Source organism: Homo sapiens, chromosome 15, assembly GCF_000001405.40.
Source record: "Homo sapiens chromosome 15, GRCh38.p14 Primary Assembly".
In the NCBI taxonomy this organism is placed as follows: domain Eukaryota; kingdom Metazoa; phylum Chordata; class Mammalia; order Primates; family Hominidae; genus Homo; species Homo sapiens.
In genome coordinates, this window is record NC_000015.10 from 101,244,336 (window position 1) to 101,261,188 (window position 16,853).

Genomic DNA, 16,853 nt, shown 5'->3' on the forward strand with positions numbered 1-16,853 from the left:
AAAACGGTTGTGACACTAACCAAGTAAATGTGTGCTAAGCTAATTCTGTCACTTCAGGACAGAATTAATGGTAACTGACTGAAACGAGAACGGGCTGCAGCTCTGTGCCTAGCGGACCTCCACACCAGCAGCCTAACGTGCTCAAAATGGAATGCAGTTTCTCTTAGAGCTGACATCTTTTTGTGGTTTTACTGTAGCTTTATTACAAAATAACTGCTTACTGTAGAAAAACCAGAATATATAGAAAAGAGCTAAGAAGAATATAAAAGATCACTTGGCATCACAGTGAGTACATCCTTTGATGTTTCCTTTTCTATGCTACACAAACATACACTTTTGTTTTACTTTAAACACAGAAGGGCTTTGTACTGGCCATACTGTTTTACAGTTTACTTTCACTTAAGTATATTCTGAACCTCTCCTCATGTCAATAAAAGTATTTCAGCCACACCATTTTTACTTGTTAGAGATGCAGACCACAGTATGGATGAATCAGTTAAGTCAATTTTGGTCCTTATCTCCTAAAGCAGGACACCTAAAATACCTGAAATTTCCACTTCATATGTACACATTTAAGCACACCTTTAAAATTCCTTTGGAAAAAATTCTAGAGCAATTGCCAGACCTCAAGAGAGCTGCATTTTAGACTTCTTGATAAATGCTACCCAAGCGTCCCTCAACAGGTACCGGTCCTGTCCAGCTCTAGCTAGGTACCGGTACTTGACCAACTCTAGCCACCCTCTGCAGCAGCAACACCGCTGGGCTGATCTTCCAAAACACACATCCCATCAGGCTACTGTCCTGCCGAAATGTCACCAATAGCTCTGGACAGCAACCACACAAAGCCTGGCACGCAGACCTTCCCTCCATGTCCCTGCCCACCACTCTACCACCCACAGCCTACACCTAGCCCCAAAGAGCTGGCCTTTCCCATCGCTCCTTCACTAACTCCTGCCATTTCATGTTGTAGGAAACCTGTAGTTGTCTCTGCCTCAAAAACACCTCTTCATCTTCCAAGACTCAGCTAGTGGGTAAAAAAAGGGTGGGAGTGTGGGTGAGACATTTCTTGATCCATCACCCACTGGGTGTAAGCCTCTTTCTTCTGCTCCCCCACAGTGATTAGTTCACGCACCCTGACAGCCCTCATCAACCAATACCATCGCTCGTTTCCTTCTGAGACAATGAACTCTGCAGAGACTAGGGCCCTGTATTTGGAATCTACTGTTAATAAAGAGCAGCTTAGTTAACAGACAGGGGAACGTGAAGCTGCCGGTGCAATGGAAACAGTCACGCACAATCCGCTATTGACAGCCACATCTATCCCTGGAATCAATCCGCTATTGACAGCCACAGCCATCCCTGGAAATCCCTGGAATATTGTTTGAGCGCTTCAAGATCTTGAACCTGACATAAAAAACTACACTCATTTTCAGAGCCACATGGTTCCCTAGTCTCCTACAGGAAATTCACGATCTGAAATGACTTGGTGCTCCAAAAGTTCACTTACAGGTTGATTATTTGGATTTTACATGGAAAAGCCTTCTGTATAAATGTTTGCCAAGTTGAATTCTATCTAAGAAAGTGAGGACTGCTCTGAACTGTTTCAAGATAAACATGGTTTACTTAGCTCAAGAAATAAGGAAATGAATTCAGATTTATAAGATAGGAGGATCTCATTAAGGTTGGTAGAGGAACAGTCCGTCTTCATTTAAGGCATTAGGAAGAGATCATTCACTGATAATAGTATCCTGAAATCAGATTCCTATATCTCTAGGTAATGCTTCTCAAACTTTCTTCCCACAGTCCCCTACAGACTGATGCTAATCTGTAATGGTGCCCTTGTTCAATCTTGGCGCAAAGAAGGGAAACCATCCACCTCTTTCTTCTGACAACATAAAAAAAGAACAAAACTATTCCCCATCTTCAGCCCAGAGAGGGTAAGAACCAAAACAAACAAAAGGTGTTGGATTAGCTCAAGGTTCTGGGCATAAAAATGGACGAATAAGCAAAATACGTGTGGCTTTTTTTTTTTTTTAATCAAAACGTTGATTAAAAAAATCTAAATAGCACAGAAACTCTCTCAGCAAGAAAAGGTAAGTGTAGCCAAGAAATGTTTGAAGCAGATGAATAACAAAGGGGAACTTGTCCACCGGATATTAAAATATTATTCAACCTCCAATAATTTCAATGGGTGGTACTGGCACAAGAACAGACAGAAAGTTCAACGGAACAAAACATGAAGTCCAGAAACATACCCAAGAATTCTGAGCATGACGAAGATGGCATTTCAAACTGGTAGGGAAATGAGAACTTAGTCAACGGTACATGGTGCTGCGACCACATACTATTTGGGGAAAAAATAAAGTTGAGATGATTTCTACCCTTTCTAGAATTAGGAAGGAAACGTTACCTTTAAAAATCTCTCCAGGGCAGTAACTGTGAACCTGGGGTAGAGAAAACTAAAATCAGAAAGGGAAAGACATAGACTGAACTACATGAACATTTCCCTTCCATATATCACAGAACATAACTAAAAAGAAAATGTTTAAATATGGGAAAAATACGAATTGCAGCTAGTAATGCAAGACACAAGAAACCCAGAGGTTCTGACAAGCTGTCCTTAATTTGCATAATAAATGACTTCAGAGGAATCACAGTACCATTTTAAAGCGAAATTACCTAGAACACACACTTGCAGATGAGTCAAAATAAATTATTTTATGTGTTAACTTACAGAACCCCAGCTACCCACCTCCTTTTCCTGCATAAACCCTCCAGTGGCTTTCTAATTCACTCAGAATGAAACTTTACAAGACTGGACACTAGCGAGCCCCTTCTTGGGGCTCTTCTTTTACTGGCCTTCTTGGCTTTCTTTCTTTTACTGGCCTTCTTGGTGTTCCTTTCCAAGCCGGTCCCTGCCTTGGGACTTCCCGGTGCTTCCTTGGCCCTCATGCTCATCAATGATATTCACACAACTGGCTCTTCATGATCAAATCTCAGCCCAAATGGCACTCTCTCCAAACTCTTCCCTAATCACCTAACACAGAGAGGACACACTTGCCCTGCCCCAACCCTGTTCTATTTTCTCTACAGCATCCATCACTAGCAGAAACCCTCTTTTTAGTGTCGTCCCTCTGACTAAAGAACATGACAGCAAGCCGTGTACTGCAGTGTCCCCCAGGACTCAGGGTCGGGGGCCAGAGGGGCCATGCATGCATGTGCTTTACAAAGAAATGGATCCTAAGTAACGAATCAGGATCACTCCTATTAACTCCACAGCTACTGTGTCACTCAGGGCCTCCAAAGCTCAGCCCTGGCTGGTCTCTCACCTGCTACATTTTGAGTTTTGTCTCGCCTGCTTTGAAAAATCTGTTTCTTGTCTGCTATCAGCTGTCACTGCCCTGCTATATCTTGGTGGCCCCCATCCATCCCTCAAGCAGATGGCAGGTCTAGAAAGTAAAAATGTGTAATGATGGAGATGTTCTATCATCAAAGTGCTGTGCCTTTAGTGTGGACGGGCATATCTCCTTGGATTTTCAAAAGCTTTTTTAGCCCCTTTCTGGATCTCAGAGTTGTTGGAATGAAGAGGTTGCTAGCTACTAGTCCCTTCACCTAAATTCTGACATTTTCAGTATTCTACACCAAAGTATCATCTTACTGAAAGTGCTGGCATCTCCTTCATCTATAAGCCAAACAACAGTTGTTTTTTTGTTTTTTTTAAAAAACAAAACTACAGTTTTCGATAAGATGAAGAATGAATTTACCTTTCAGGAGAAATGTAAAGCTCAGCACATCGATTTCCAAACTAGAGTTCTACCTTGTGCTAGAAGAGTCAAGCTTACTTTTATACTGAACTGTGCATGGAATTTCCAATTTAAGAGCTCAGTGTGGACTTTTGGTCTGGGCTGCAAAGCACAGTAAAACTGGAATCATATGTTATACCCTATAACCTCCATCCCAATTGAGGCCCTCCCCAAAAGTTCCTTAACTTTTAGCCTTAAGGCTAAAATCGTCTTGTGCCAACTCCTGCAGTCAGTCTAAACACAGGGTTGGCAGGCAAGAGGCAAAGGACCCTAACTGGCAGGGCAGGTCCACCTCCAGGCTCCATGCACTCTGACTTCTTAAGATCTGAGAGATAAAAGGAAACTTCTGTGAGAGAGCTGGAGTGACATTAGCTGGACACTATCTCCTGGTAGGCGTTTTCCTTTCTCAGAAAGGCAGAGGTGTCAAAAGAAAGGGAGAACCCCGCCTGGGGGCAAACTGTGTTTCTGCTTTCCCCTAACCACCTGAAAAAAAAATAATAAATAAACAATGAGATTAAGTCTTACATCCAGAAAAAGATGAGGGAAGAGATGTGGAAAGGAGGCCAAAAGTAAGAGCGTTAAGCTCGAGTTTGGAAAACCATCTCCAAGTGTGAAACAGTAGTTCTAGTTTGCATTACATTTTCTTTTACTTATTTTCTTTTTTTTGAGACGGAGTCTTGCTCTGCCCCCCAGGATGGAGCGCAGTGACGCAATCTCGGGTCACAGCAACCTCTGCCTCCTGGGTTTACGCCATTCTCCTGCCTCAGCCTCCCGAGTAGCTGGGACTACAGGCACCTGCCACCAAGCCTGGCTAATTTTTTTTTTTTTTTTTTTTTTTGCATTTTCAGTAGAGATGGGGTTTCACCGTGTTAGCCAGGATGGTCTTGATCTCCTGACCTCATGATCCGCCCGCCTCGGCCTCCCAAAGTGCTGGGATGACAGGCGTGAGCCACCGCGCCCGGCCTGCATTACATTTTCTGAGTATTGCTGGTGCATTAGGCCCCCCACTGATTTGAATATATTGATACCGTAACCATGAAAATGTATTTGGTTCAGGGGGCATGGGGGAGATAAGGGAGTTACCTAATTTACTGTTTGTACTAACTGGTTTGTTAACTGTCCCCAAAACTGTGATTTCACATGGTCTATCACCACACTAGAGTCATGCGGATTTACTTTCAAAACCATGCTGTAAATAATCTATATGGCTCATCCTCGATTTCCGATACGGCTGTTTCTCTGGTCAAAAAAAAAAAAAAAATCCCATAAAACCTCAGGTAATGCAAGGTAGATCTGGGAGAGATCCTGATAGGCTGGTTCCCAAATCACTGCACTAGTCTATGTATCTCTATCTATCGATCGATAGATAGAATTTTTTTTTTTTTTTTTTTTTGAGATGGAGTCTCACTCTGTAGCCCAGGCTGGAGTGCAGTGGCATGATCTTGGCTCATTGCAACCTCCGCCTCCTGGGTTCAAGCGATTCTCCTGCCTCAGCCTCCTGAGTGGCTGGGACTACAGGTGCACGCCACCACACCCGGCTAATTTTTGTACTCTTGAGTAGAGACGGGGTTTCACCATATTGGTCAGGCTGGTGTCGAACTCCTGACCTCAGGCGATCCGCCCGCCTCGGCCTCCCAAAGTGCTAGAATTACAGGCGTGAGCCACGGCGCCCCGCCTGCATTAGTCTGTATTTACAATACCTGCATTCTAAGCTTTTCAAGCCACTCAGGACCCTTCCTGGCGGAATGTGGGTTCTGGACTTAAGCAGGACCCTAATGGAAATGTGCAGGAATGGGGATCAAGCCATTCAAGGGGCAGTCACTGAAGACCACTTTCACCTTCTTTCTCAGTCCTTTACTTTCTCCCTTAAAGGCAAGGGAGACCATATATGCTTTTCCCCTCACAACATCTAGTGCCTGAAAAATCTGACCAAGACTGCATTTAAAAACTGAAGTGTAAAGGTATTGGTTATAAGAACAAACAGCAACCAGCTTAGCCTGGCTCAGCACTGGCTGCTCTGAAATTTCATTACCAGACAACTGATGCTCTAAAACCATTCCCCACATTGGTTTGCTCTGTGGCTGGATAAGACCCAAACTTTATCCATACAGTAAGTGTCTCTATACTTCACACATATAGGGTTTCCATCAAATCCCTTTATCGAGTCTACAACCCTCTCCAACTTCAAATTCACTCCAATACAAATCTGATTCTAACCATGCCAGCCATTCCAAAATCATCTCCCTTCTAGAGACTACATTGGCTAATCCCTTTGTTAAACCTGAACACAATTCCAGCTGCTTTTATGACTCATTTGGCCAACTAGAGCCCAGTTACTGGATAACATGCATACACCACCAAGCTGAACTAATTAACACCAGAATGCAGTTTTCCACTGAATCTACCAAGGGCCAAGAACTGCTTTTCCCCAAGGTTCTCTCTCTCTGTACTCAACAGACTGGTGTGGTCCAATATGCTGCGGGCATTCTCTTTCATTTATAGGAGTGCCTCCAACTGCGAAATGTGAGAGTATGATGTGGAAAGGTTCTAGAACTAGATTAACGTACACGGGCTCCAGCTTTGCAAGGACAAAGGTGCACATTTTAGGGAATCCAGTATCAGCCCCAACTGCCTCCACTATCAGGTACTGTGCTATGAGTTTTCCAACATTATGAGGGAGACCCGATCTGTCGGGCCCTTCTAACGAGAAGCTTCGATTTGCAAAGGCTAAAGTGCCTTCATCAGGGTGAGAGGTACACCCAGCGAGGCCACACTAGTCCATCTGACCCCAAAGGCCATGTTCCTGAGCGCCGCGCTCACCATCCCGCCTCTGATCTTTTCTCCCTCGGCCCGGCGTCTCCCGAGAGGCAACCCGATCCCGCCGGAAGCCCAAGAAGGGCCTAGGAAGCGGGCGGAGGCGAGAGCCAGGAGAGCACCCGGGATGCCGGCCGCCGGGATGCCGGACGCAGGAGGCGGTGCCCGGGGAGCAGGGGCTCACCTGTAGGCGGCCACGGCCCGAGTCTGCAGGTATTTCTGGGCGGTCATGACTCCCACGAAGAGAAAGTTCCTGTCGCGCGGGCCGCCATCTGGGTCCGAGCCGGGCGGCCAGAGCTGCGCCCCGCGCGCATCGCCGCGCGCCCCGCCGGCCTGGGAAGCCGCCGCCTGCCCGGACCGGCAGCCCTCGGGGCTGGCGCGGCGCCGTGGGCCCGCTCGCTTCAGCTCGGAAGCCCGGGGCAGGACGAGCCGCGAGGCCAGCACGAAGCCCAGGACGAGCCCGAGCAGCACGCTGAGCCAGGCGCGCCGGCCGCGCGCGGCCATGCCCGCGCCGCTCCGCCCGCCGGGCCGCCGCCGCAGGCTCCGCGCGCCCTCAGCCCGCTGCCCCCGCCCGCGGAGGCCAGCCCGCCCTAGCGCCGCGAGGCCCGGCCCGGGCAGCGCCGCCGCCGCCGCGGGCCCGCCGCGCCCATCGCGGCCCCCGAGCCGCCCGCAGGCCCCGCGCCGGCGCTTTGTTCCGCACGCCCGCCCCCGCCGCCGCGGCCTGCGCCTTTAAGAGGGGACCATGCCCGGCGCGCGCTAGCGGCGGCTCGGGCGCGAGGTGGCGGCGGCTCCTCCCGCTCGCGCGCGGGGACGCGGGGCCGGCACGACGGCGACGACGGCGGCGGCAGACGAGTCCGGGCTCCCGTCCCGCCCTGCCCGCGTCCTCCGGCTGGCTGGGCTCGGTTCGCACGGCGCCTGTCCCCGTCCTCTTCGTAGCCGGCGCCGCCGCCGCAGCTGCACATCCTCCGGCTTAGCTCGCCATTGCAACAGGAGCCCCTCACGTCACGCACGGCGCGTTATGAAGTGGCCCCGCCGGCGGCGAGCCGTGGCCCCTCTCGGGATCCGTCCGCGCCGCGCGATTGGCGCAAAAGTGAATGAGGGGCGGTTCACGTGGCCGAAGTTTGACCAAAAAAAAAAAAAGCCCTCTCGGGCGCCCCGCCCGCGCGGTCTGCGACTGGAGCTGGCGGGCGGAGGGGGCGTGGGCCCCCGCCCGGCGCCCGCGGGGCCGGAGCTGCCCGTGATCCGCACCTAGCACCCGGCGCAAGGGCGTCCCCGCGAGGACGGCCGCTTCCCGCACCGCGGCGCCCGGGCGCGAATCTCGGGAGCCAGCCTTGCAGTGGGGGCTTCTCGGCCCCCAGACTCCACGCTGCGCACGTTCCTCCCGCACGGGCCGTCCTCGCTGCACCCCACGGCCACGCCCTTCCTGCCGCCGGGCCGGCCCCGCGCTCCCGGCCCCGCGCTCCCGACCACACTGCAGCTTTGTCCGCAGTCCCGCGGCCGCACGCAGGGAACAGCCGTCCCGGAGCCCTGGGGACGTGCGCGCCTGCGAGTGGACCGTGAATTCAGTTACCTTGTTCCCTGTTGCTAGTTTCTACGCTAAATAAGAAGAAGAAGAAGAAAAAGCCATCTTTAATACTTAAGGTCCACGCTTCTCATACAGTACTAGCATTTAATGGATCTCGAAGACAAGGAAAATGAAGTTAATGCCCTGGATGGTAAACCCTACTTTCATTTACATACTGTGTGGGCAGATAGCCGGCTAGTACCCCCAGCCTGGGACTTTGTCCCTACTTTAATATAGTCCGTCTGTAAAAGTGCCGTGGATTTCTAAAGACGGATTTTGGGTCCCAGATCCTCTACTCTGGATTTTAAGTTTTATACATTTCCTCTGCAATACTTCAGCTAAGGCAGCAAAAGCGGAGGTCTCCATACAACGAAAGTTTGTGTAGAGTTTCAGTCTTGTTACTTAGTCACCAGTATATTGGGGTTTTCTAATGAAACTTTTGAAGGGCAAAGTGTTTCCCTGGGCCTGAGAAGTTACCTGCATTGAATCAAATAAACACATGCCTGGGGCAATCCTTGGATCTTTCTTCATTGTTGACCAAATGGTTGAAATACTATCACACAGTTTAAAATGCCTGTGGGAGCTTCAGATACCTTCTCGGCACCTGAATGGTGGTCACTCTTGTTTATTCTTTGGATATTACCACTTTCTTTGACACTTGTGATTTATATTAAAAATAGTTCATTACCTACCTTCCCACAGAGCCCCTCCCTAAGGGGTGATCCACATCTAAAAATAAAATACTCATTATGCAGTGAATACAGGATTCCAGCAGTGGTCTTGGGAAAAATACAGAACATACAACCATGAATTACAGGCTCGAAAACCATCGAAAAAGGTTTCCACTAAGACCATAAACCACAAATGCCGAGGAGTCACCAGATCCCCCAAATTCAGCAGCCCCATCATTCACAGTGATTTACATGAAGTACGAATCTGGCCAGATTCAGATGTTCAATTTTGTAGCATATTCAACGATTTCAGTATTTTCTAACCTGCTTTAGACTTACCTAGTTTTCTTCGAAACTAGTGTCCAGTGAAAAGCTGGCCGGGCGCGGTGGCTCACGCCTGTAAACCCAGCACTCTGGGAGGCTGAGGCGGGCGGATCGCCTGAGGTCAGGAGTTCGAGACCAACCTGACCAACATGGAGAAACCCCGACTCTACTAAAAATACAAAATTAGCCGGGGGTGGTGGTGCATGCCTGTAATCCCAGCTACTCGGGAGGCTGAGGCAGGAGAATCGCTTGAACCCGGGAGGTGGAGGTTGCTGTGAGCCGAGATCGTGCCATTGCATTGCACTGCAGCCTGGGCGACAACAGCGAAACTCCGTCTCAAGGAAAAAAAAAAAAAAAGTATATAAATATCTGATGGGAATAATATTCTGAGGATGCCAAATATTTTGTCCTCCTCAATATCCTGGTTCCTAGTTGTCCCTCAGTTCCTAGGTTAACAGTCTCACCTGTCTCACCTGCAGGCTTAATGGGGGTCTTTCGTAATGTAGAAAGGATACCCTTTTCTTTGTAAAGGCTGAGCCTGAGGGCTTACAATTCCCTGGAGAAGGAGAGTAAGACATACGGGAACTCCCTCTGGGAGAAGAGGGATATGCCAGGCCAAGAGAGGGTTGGAAGGAGAAGAGAGAAACTGAGGTCCTGTAGAAGTCTGCCAGGGGCAGGGACCAATTCCGGCATGCAGCCTAGGAGCAGGAGGGCAAGCTCTAGCACATCTGGAAGGAGCAGCTGGATTGTTGAGCTGAGGCAGTTCTCCTGGGGAAGAATCCAAAAGTGTCCCAGTAAGGGGCCTGGCTCAGGAGACAAGGCTATCCTAAGTGGGGATTTCACAGCCAGTAGCAAATACCTGGAATCAAGAACTTCAGTGACAGCCAGAGACCCAAACAGCTGGACAGGACTGGTACCCCCAGTATGAAGGCCTGTCCCATGCCCAGCCCCACTAGTCAATACCAGCAAGGAGCCAGGGAGGACAACGAGGGTCTGGAACATCTGCCCCCAATGCACACACATGCGTCCTTCCCCACAGCCCCCTGGAGGCCAAGGCTGTCCTCATCCTAAAGCCCCCTCACCCTAAGTAATTTTTAAAGGTAAGGAGTAGGCAGGGTGATTCGCATTTATAGGGATTTCACTGCAGGGAGCTGAGGAAAGACTTTTCATGTTCCGGGCTTCTTGATTTCACTGTGCTACTGGCCTTCTCTGTTGAGGGAATCATTGACCATTTTTCTCATCATAAAAGAAGGGGAGGTATTAACTGTTACCAGGAACACTTGTAAGGAAGCCCTTAACTGTAGTTATTCCATGAAAGTCCCAATGGCACAGGAGTGGCCCAAGAGGTGGGCTGTGATGGATCAGGGATCAGGAGTGTGGGACCGAGTCTGAGCTCTGCGTGGAGTGAGTTCCACCTGGAGGGGCTCCGGGAGTCCGGCTCTGTCTCCAAATGAGTCTTTCTGCTGGATCACGTTAAACGGTCCTCCATAGTGATTCCAGACCAGTATTCAGAAATGTGTTCAAAAATCCCAGATCACTTAACTTCCCTTCTGTGTTCATGAGTGTGACTCTTTATGACACATTATTAAAGTTCATCGCCACCTACCTTACTGAGCATTTTCTCACAGATGGCAACTTTGTTCCCACACACTTCACATTTCTTTTCTGTTGCTAATACATTGAACGTCTGTTACCAGTATAACATTTCATATAATTTGCAGCAATTTCTTGGAAACCCTTGGTAAATACCTCAATTGTTTGTTGGCAGCAAGCCTCAAACGACCGACAGAGTTCCCTGTTAGAGCTTCTTTAAAGATGAAGCCTCTCCACTCACGCCTCAAACAGGGGTCCTTGGAAAAAGTGGTAATTTTTATTAAAGAAAAAAAACTTTCAGAAAGGCCTGTTTTAAGAAACAGTGAATGCTGAGGAGTTATAATCATCCATCCTTTCAGAAGGTTCTGTTCACTGCCTGCAAAGAAGAAAATCTATAATGACCACTTTACTAATATTGCCACTTAACCTCTGTTAACCCAATAAAACACTGCTTCATTATGAATGCTGCTATTAAACTTACAAGCAAGATCCTCATGAGGTTGTTAATTTCGCTCACTATTTCCTTCTGTTTGTAGCATTTCCAGTCAGATGCAGGAAAGGGCAAGTGAGCAGGGCTCACGTTCTGGTTTCACACACTGGCCTATTCCAGCCCTGGGTGTTCTGCAAAGTCCTTCAGTGCTTATCAGCTGTGTACACCGTTTCCATCAGACGCTGAGTCAGTGTGAGTGCTTCTCACACTGTGTGTGTGTGTGTGTGTGTGTGTGTGTGTGTGAGCTTTCATGTGTACGATAGAGACACAAAAGAGATTTAAGTTCAGTATAACCATGTGGACCAGCCAGATGGGATGTGATCTTCCTAACTAGAAAACGCTGGGTGCCGCCAGCACAGGCACTACTGGGAACCAGCCTGAATGTTCTTTAGGAGACAACCTCACTGCAGAGGCTGAGGACAGTTGGCTTCTGGTGTTAAGACTTAATCCTTGTGGAGAGGAGTTTGCCTTTCCCATCCCTTGCCAAGAAATGCATTGATCTTTAAAGCGGTGCCAGAGTTTCCACAGCTGGGAAGTTTGCACAAAGACAAAGCTCCTATCCACAGGAGGGAACTCCCTGTAGGAACCCAGGCACTGGACAGCTGGGCAGCAGCATGGCCACCTGAGGGCTCAGTGCAGCTGGGGCCAGATGTGCAGCTCAGATTCGATTCCCACTGGAGGCCTAATGAAACGTAAAACTGGGAAAAACATTCACGCTGCAGAAGACGGTTTAAGCTACAAATTGAGGCAGCAGAAATAGGGATCTACAAACACCTGAAAGTACAATGCAAGAGAAAACACTGTCACCATAATACTCATGGCTAAATGGCCCCAGGTCATTGATCCTTCTCACACCCAGTTATGCTATCAAGCCCATGCTAGGGTCATAAACACTCTTAATGCACACCTCATGGGTGATAAATGTTGTTATCCAAAGTTGGCAATTAAGGCCTCTCTAGGAACTCAAAATAATCACCGTATGTATATTCACTCGGAGGAGTCTGTGGAAATAGAGGCTTTCCCAACATGCTTGCGGGAGAGCAAAGTCATACAAACCCACTGGGAGGGCGGTTTTGTTTGAATATAAGTGTGAATTTTTATTTCCATTTTTTTAAAGACAGGGTCTCACTTTGTCACCCAGGCTGGAGTGCGGTGGAGTGATCGTGGCTCACTGTCAACATTACACATTACAAGTGCATTTGCTTTCGACCCCACAGTCCTGCTTCTGAGATTTGTCCTCCAGCCATACCAGTACAAAATGACACTTGAACGAGGTTATTCTCTGCGACACTGTTTGTGATAGTAAAAGATCAGACCCCAGTGTTCATGTATAGGGGAATGGATAAATACACAAAGGCGCACCCATCAGAGAATGAACTATTGTGCAGCTGTAAACCACAGCAAGGAGGCGCTCTCTCTACTGAAATGGCACAAAACAGAAAGCAGAAAGAATAAGAAGTTTGCTAGTGTTTTTATAACAAAACACTAGAGGGATGCACAAGAAATAAAAGTGATGGCCTAATGGGGGGTGGAGAAAATGAGGGCAGTTGAAGTGTGTGGGCAAGATTTCCCAATTGGGCACTGATAAATATCATTGATATCACTGATGTGTATATATATATATAATTTATATATATATATAGTATATGTGATATATATATATATATTTATGTATATATCACATATTCTTTTTTCTTTGAGACAGAGTCTCGCTCTGTCTCCAGACTGGAGTGCAGTGGCGCGATCTCAGTTTACTGCAACCTCCGCTTCCCAGTTCAAGCGAGTCTCCTGCCTCAGCCTCCCCAGTAGCTGGGACCACAGATGTGCACCACCACGCCCAGCTAATTTTTGTATTTTTAGTAGAGACAGGGTTTCACCATATTGGCCAGAATGGCCTCAATCTCTTGACCTCATGATCTGCCCATGTTTGCCTCCCAAAGTGCTGGGATCACAGGCGGGAGCCACCGTGCCTGGCCCTTTTTGTGGTTTTTAGACTAAGTTTTGTTCTTGTTGCCCAGGCTGGAGTGCAAAGGCGTGATCTTGGCTCACTGTAACCTCCGCCTCTTGGGTTCAAGTGATTCTCCTGCTTCAGCCTCCCAAGTAGCTGGGATTATAGGTGCCTGCCACCATGCCCGCCTAATTTTGTATTTTTAGTAGAGACGGGTTTTCATCATGTTGGCCAGGCTGGTCTTGAACTCCTGACCTGAGGTGATCCACCTGCCTTGGCCTCCCAAAGTGCTGGGATTACAGGTGTGAGCCACTGCGCCCGGCCATGATTTTTTTTTAAAGACAGGGTCTCTGTCACCCAGGCTGGAGTGCAATGGAGTCATCCTGGCTCAGGGCAACCTTGACCTCCCAGGCTCAAGCCAACCTCTCACCTCAGCCTCCCAAGTAGCTAGGACTACAGGCCTAACTTTTTTTTTTTTTTTTTTTTGAGATGGGGTCTCGCTCTGTTTCCCAGGCTGGTCAAGTGATCTTCCTGCCTTGGCCTCCTGGAGTGTTGGGATTACAGGTTCGTGAGCCACGGCACCCAGCCTTATTTCCCTTGTTTTATATGTGTTCCTCCTTGTACTTTATTCTCGGACCTTCCATAATATTAGAGCCTTGTGTCATGTCTTTTTTTAGCCTTTTAACATAGAAAAATAATTTTCAAAATTTCCTTGGATAGCGTATTGAATATAACAAAGGGCTGGAAGGGCAGTGCCACAACTTTGCGACAATGGCACCCTCTTGTGGTACACAGCTAATTCCTGCGAAGTGAGGATTTCTGTTTAACCTTGGACTTAAAGAACAATGGTCAGACATTTTACTTTATGGTTAATAATAACCTACTTCTAATTATCGCCTATTCCAGCATTTTCCAAGGTGATACCCTGGTTCTGGATTTGTGGTTCTCCAGCTGGTGACACTGTAACATGAGAGAAGTTGAATTAAAAGCTGTCGGCTGGAAACTCCCCCTAAACTCTGAGGGAAGTAGGTAGGTTTAGCAAGCACCCAAGATGATTCTGATACCCAGAGTGGTTTGAGAGCCACAGTCTCTGCTTTCATGTGAGAAATGGGTCAGTTATCTCCCAACAGATGCAAACTGTCAGCCAGCGTAAGTTACTGCGCATGGCTGTAGATGCTAGCTGAGAAGCTTTTGTCTTCCTGCATCTGCATGGGTATCTCAAGCTGCAGAGGAGCTCACCCAGGACAGCTTGTCCGCAGGTCCTTGCTGCCGAAGTCTGAGCCAAATAAGCACTATGTGGCTGTACAAAATCCGGAGTTGTCTGGGGTGCTCTTGGGCACACTGCCTCCCACAGCATCAAACATGCTCACAATGCAAAAGGTCATCAGAGTGCCTTCCCTCAGCCCGGCAAATCTTGTCCCATGGGGGCTGGTGGGCATAGAATCTGGGGCAGTGGGAGGAGGGGCCAGGGTTAAAGGTCAGAGAGGTTGTTTACATCACTGGGCTTTCATTAGCCCCCCAACACCAATGCAAAGGGAATGAGCCCCTCTTCCTCCCCATGAGGGGCTGCTGACCTCTTTGAGACTTCTGTTTTCTTTGCAATTCTCCTAAAACTGCAAACTTTTTTTTCTGTATTTTGAAAATTTTTGTGGATATGTAATAGTCATATATATTTATGGGTACATGTGATAATTTGATACAAACCTACAATGTGTAATGATCAAATCAGGGTAACTGGTCACTTCAAACATGTATCATTTCTTTGTGTTAGGAACATTCCAATTCTACTCTTCTAGTTACTTTGAAATACACAATAAATTATTAACTAAATCACCCTATTGTGCTACTGAACACTAGATCATATTCCTTCTAATCTATCTCTACTTTTGTACCCATTAATCATTCCCTCTTTATAATCCCTGGTAATCACCGTTCTATTCTCTATCTCCATGAGAAAAATGGTCTCACATATGAGTGCAATATTTGTCTTTCTGTGCCTGGCTTATTTCACTTAACATGTCCTTAGTAGTTCCATTTATGTTATTGCAAATGACAAGATTTTATTCTTTTTATGGCTGTGTAATATTCCATTGTGAATATGTACCACATTTTAAAATCCATTCATCCATTGATGGGCACTTTTTCTTTTTCTTTTTCTTTTTTTTTGGGGGGGAGACAGAGTCTCACTCTGTCACCCAGGCTGGAGTGCAGTGGCACAATTTCGGCTCACTGCAACCTCTGCCTCCCAGGTTCAAGTGATTCTCGTGCCTCAGCCTCCTGAGTAGCTGGGATTACAGGCACCCACCACTACACCTGGCTAATTTTTGTGTTTTTAGTAGAGACTGGATTTCACCATGTTGGCCAGGCTGGTTTGAAACTCCTGACCTCAAGTGATCCGCCCACCTTGGCCTCCCAAACTGCTGGGATTACAGGCGTGAGCCACTGCTCCCAGCTTCATAGATGGACACTTTTGATTCCATATCTTAGCTGTTGTAAATAGTGCTTCAATAAGTGTGGGATATTGAAGACATATCTTTGATATATTGATTTCCTTTCTTTTGGGTATATACCCAGCAGTGGGACTGCTGGATCGTAGGGTAGTTCTACTTGTAGTTTTTAAAGGAACCACCATACTGTTCTCCATAATAGCTGTACTAATTTATACAACAGCGTACGAGTTCTCTTTTCTCTGCCTCCTTGCCAGCATCTGTTATTTTTTGTCTTTTTGATAAAAGCCATGTTAACTGGGGTGAAGTTGAAGTGATATCTCGTTGTGCTTTTGCTTTGCAATTCTCTGATGATGAGTGATGCTGAGTATTTTTTCAAATACCTGTTGGCCATTTGTATGTCCTCTTTTGAGAAGTGTCTATTCAGATCTTTTGTCCATTTTTTAATTGGATTACTTGGGGTTTTGTTTTTGTTTTGAGATGGAGTCTCGCTCTGTCACCCAGGCCTGAGTGCAGTGACGCCATCTCAGCTCACTGCAACCTCTGCCTTCTGGGTTCAAGCGATTCTTCTGCCTCAGCCGCCCGAGCAGCTGGGACTACGGGCACACGCCACCACGCCTAGCTAAGTTTTGTATTTTTAGTAGAGATGGGGTTTCACCATATTGGCCAGGCTGGTCTCGAACTCCTGACCTCGTGATCGACCCGCCTCAGCCTTCCAAAGTGCTGAGATTACAGGCGTAAGCCACCACACCCGGCAAAATGTTTTGTAGAGATGGGAAATTTTTGAGTCAATGTTTTACTTGGTTAAAAAAAACGTGTATGCCACTTAGCATTTGTTAACTCAGAAATGAACATTTATGCCACTGAAAAGTATACGTAATTTTAAAGTATTTAGTAGTAGTGAGGCCAACTGCTTCACCTATGAGACAGCAAACATCAGAAACAAGGGTGAGAAGCTGTGTCACTTCAGCTAGGGCACTGGAACTGCCCATGATGCTTGCCTGAAACATATGCCAGGCCAAACCACCTCTGCTTCACTTTTGGTCAACTTTTATGATGTCAAAGAAGCAAAGCTCACAGAGACTCCAAGATCCCACAGGGAGCTCTGACCCTGAACCAGAACTACCTGTGTCACGAGGGTACAGAAACTTTGCCACTTATTTGAACAGAGAGGATTTTTTTTTTGTTTTTTTTTTTTT

At 47.5% G+C, this 16,853-nt stretch overlaps 1 protein-coding gene and 1 long non-coding RNA gene across 3 annotated transcripts in view, besides 3 other annotated features; both read right to left on the reverse strand.

Moving 5' to 3' along the window:
• CHSY1 (chondroitin sulfate synthase 1) overlaps window positions 1–7,713 on the reverse strand; it is a 76,322-nt gene extending 68,609 nt beyond the window's left edge. For both annotated transcript variants that reach the window (NM_014918.5, XM_011521364.3), the window contains exon 1: window positions 6,802–7,713. In NM_014918.5, the coding sequence (NP_055733.2) occupies window positions 6,802–7,121 (320 nt within the window). In that variant the 5' untranslated portion in view covers window positions 7,122–7,713. The remainder of the gene's footprint in view (window positions 1–6,801) is intronic.
• Window positions 6,698–7,127: a silencer, noted in NCBI's record as "silent region_6885". NCBI's record gives its function as "represses an Ori minimal core promoter by ATAC-STARR-seq in GM12878 lymphoblastoid cells {active_cell/tissue: GM12878}" and the evidence as "EXISTENCE:reporter gene assay evidence [ECO:0000049][PMID:35858748]".
• Window positions 7,318–7,627: a silencer, noted in NCBI's record as "silent region_6886". NCBI's record gives its function as "represses an Ori minimal core promoter by ATAC-STARR-seq in GM12878 lymphoblastoid cells {active_cell/tissue: GM12878}" and the evidence as "EXISTENCE:reporter gene assay evidence [ECO:0000049][PMID:35858748]".
• Window positions 7,798–8,177: a silencer, noted in NCBI's record as "silent region_6887". NCBI's record gives its function as "represses an Ori minimal core promoter by ATAC-STARR-seq in GM12878 lymphoblastoid cells {active_cell/tissue: GM12878}" and the evidence as "EXISTENCE:reporter gene assay evidence [ECO:0000049][PMID:35858748]".
• Window positions 11,025–11,599, reverse strand: LOC107984727 (uncharacterized). Its single transcript, XR_001751746.2, has 2 exons — window positions 11,251–11,599; window positions 11,025–11,145 (listed from the first exon to the last, which is right to left on the reverse strand). It is a non-coding gene; the product is annotated as an uncharacterized LOC107984727 (long non-coding RNA).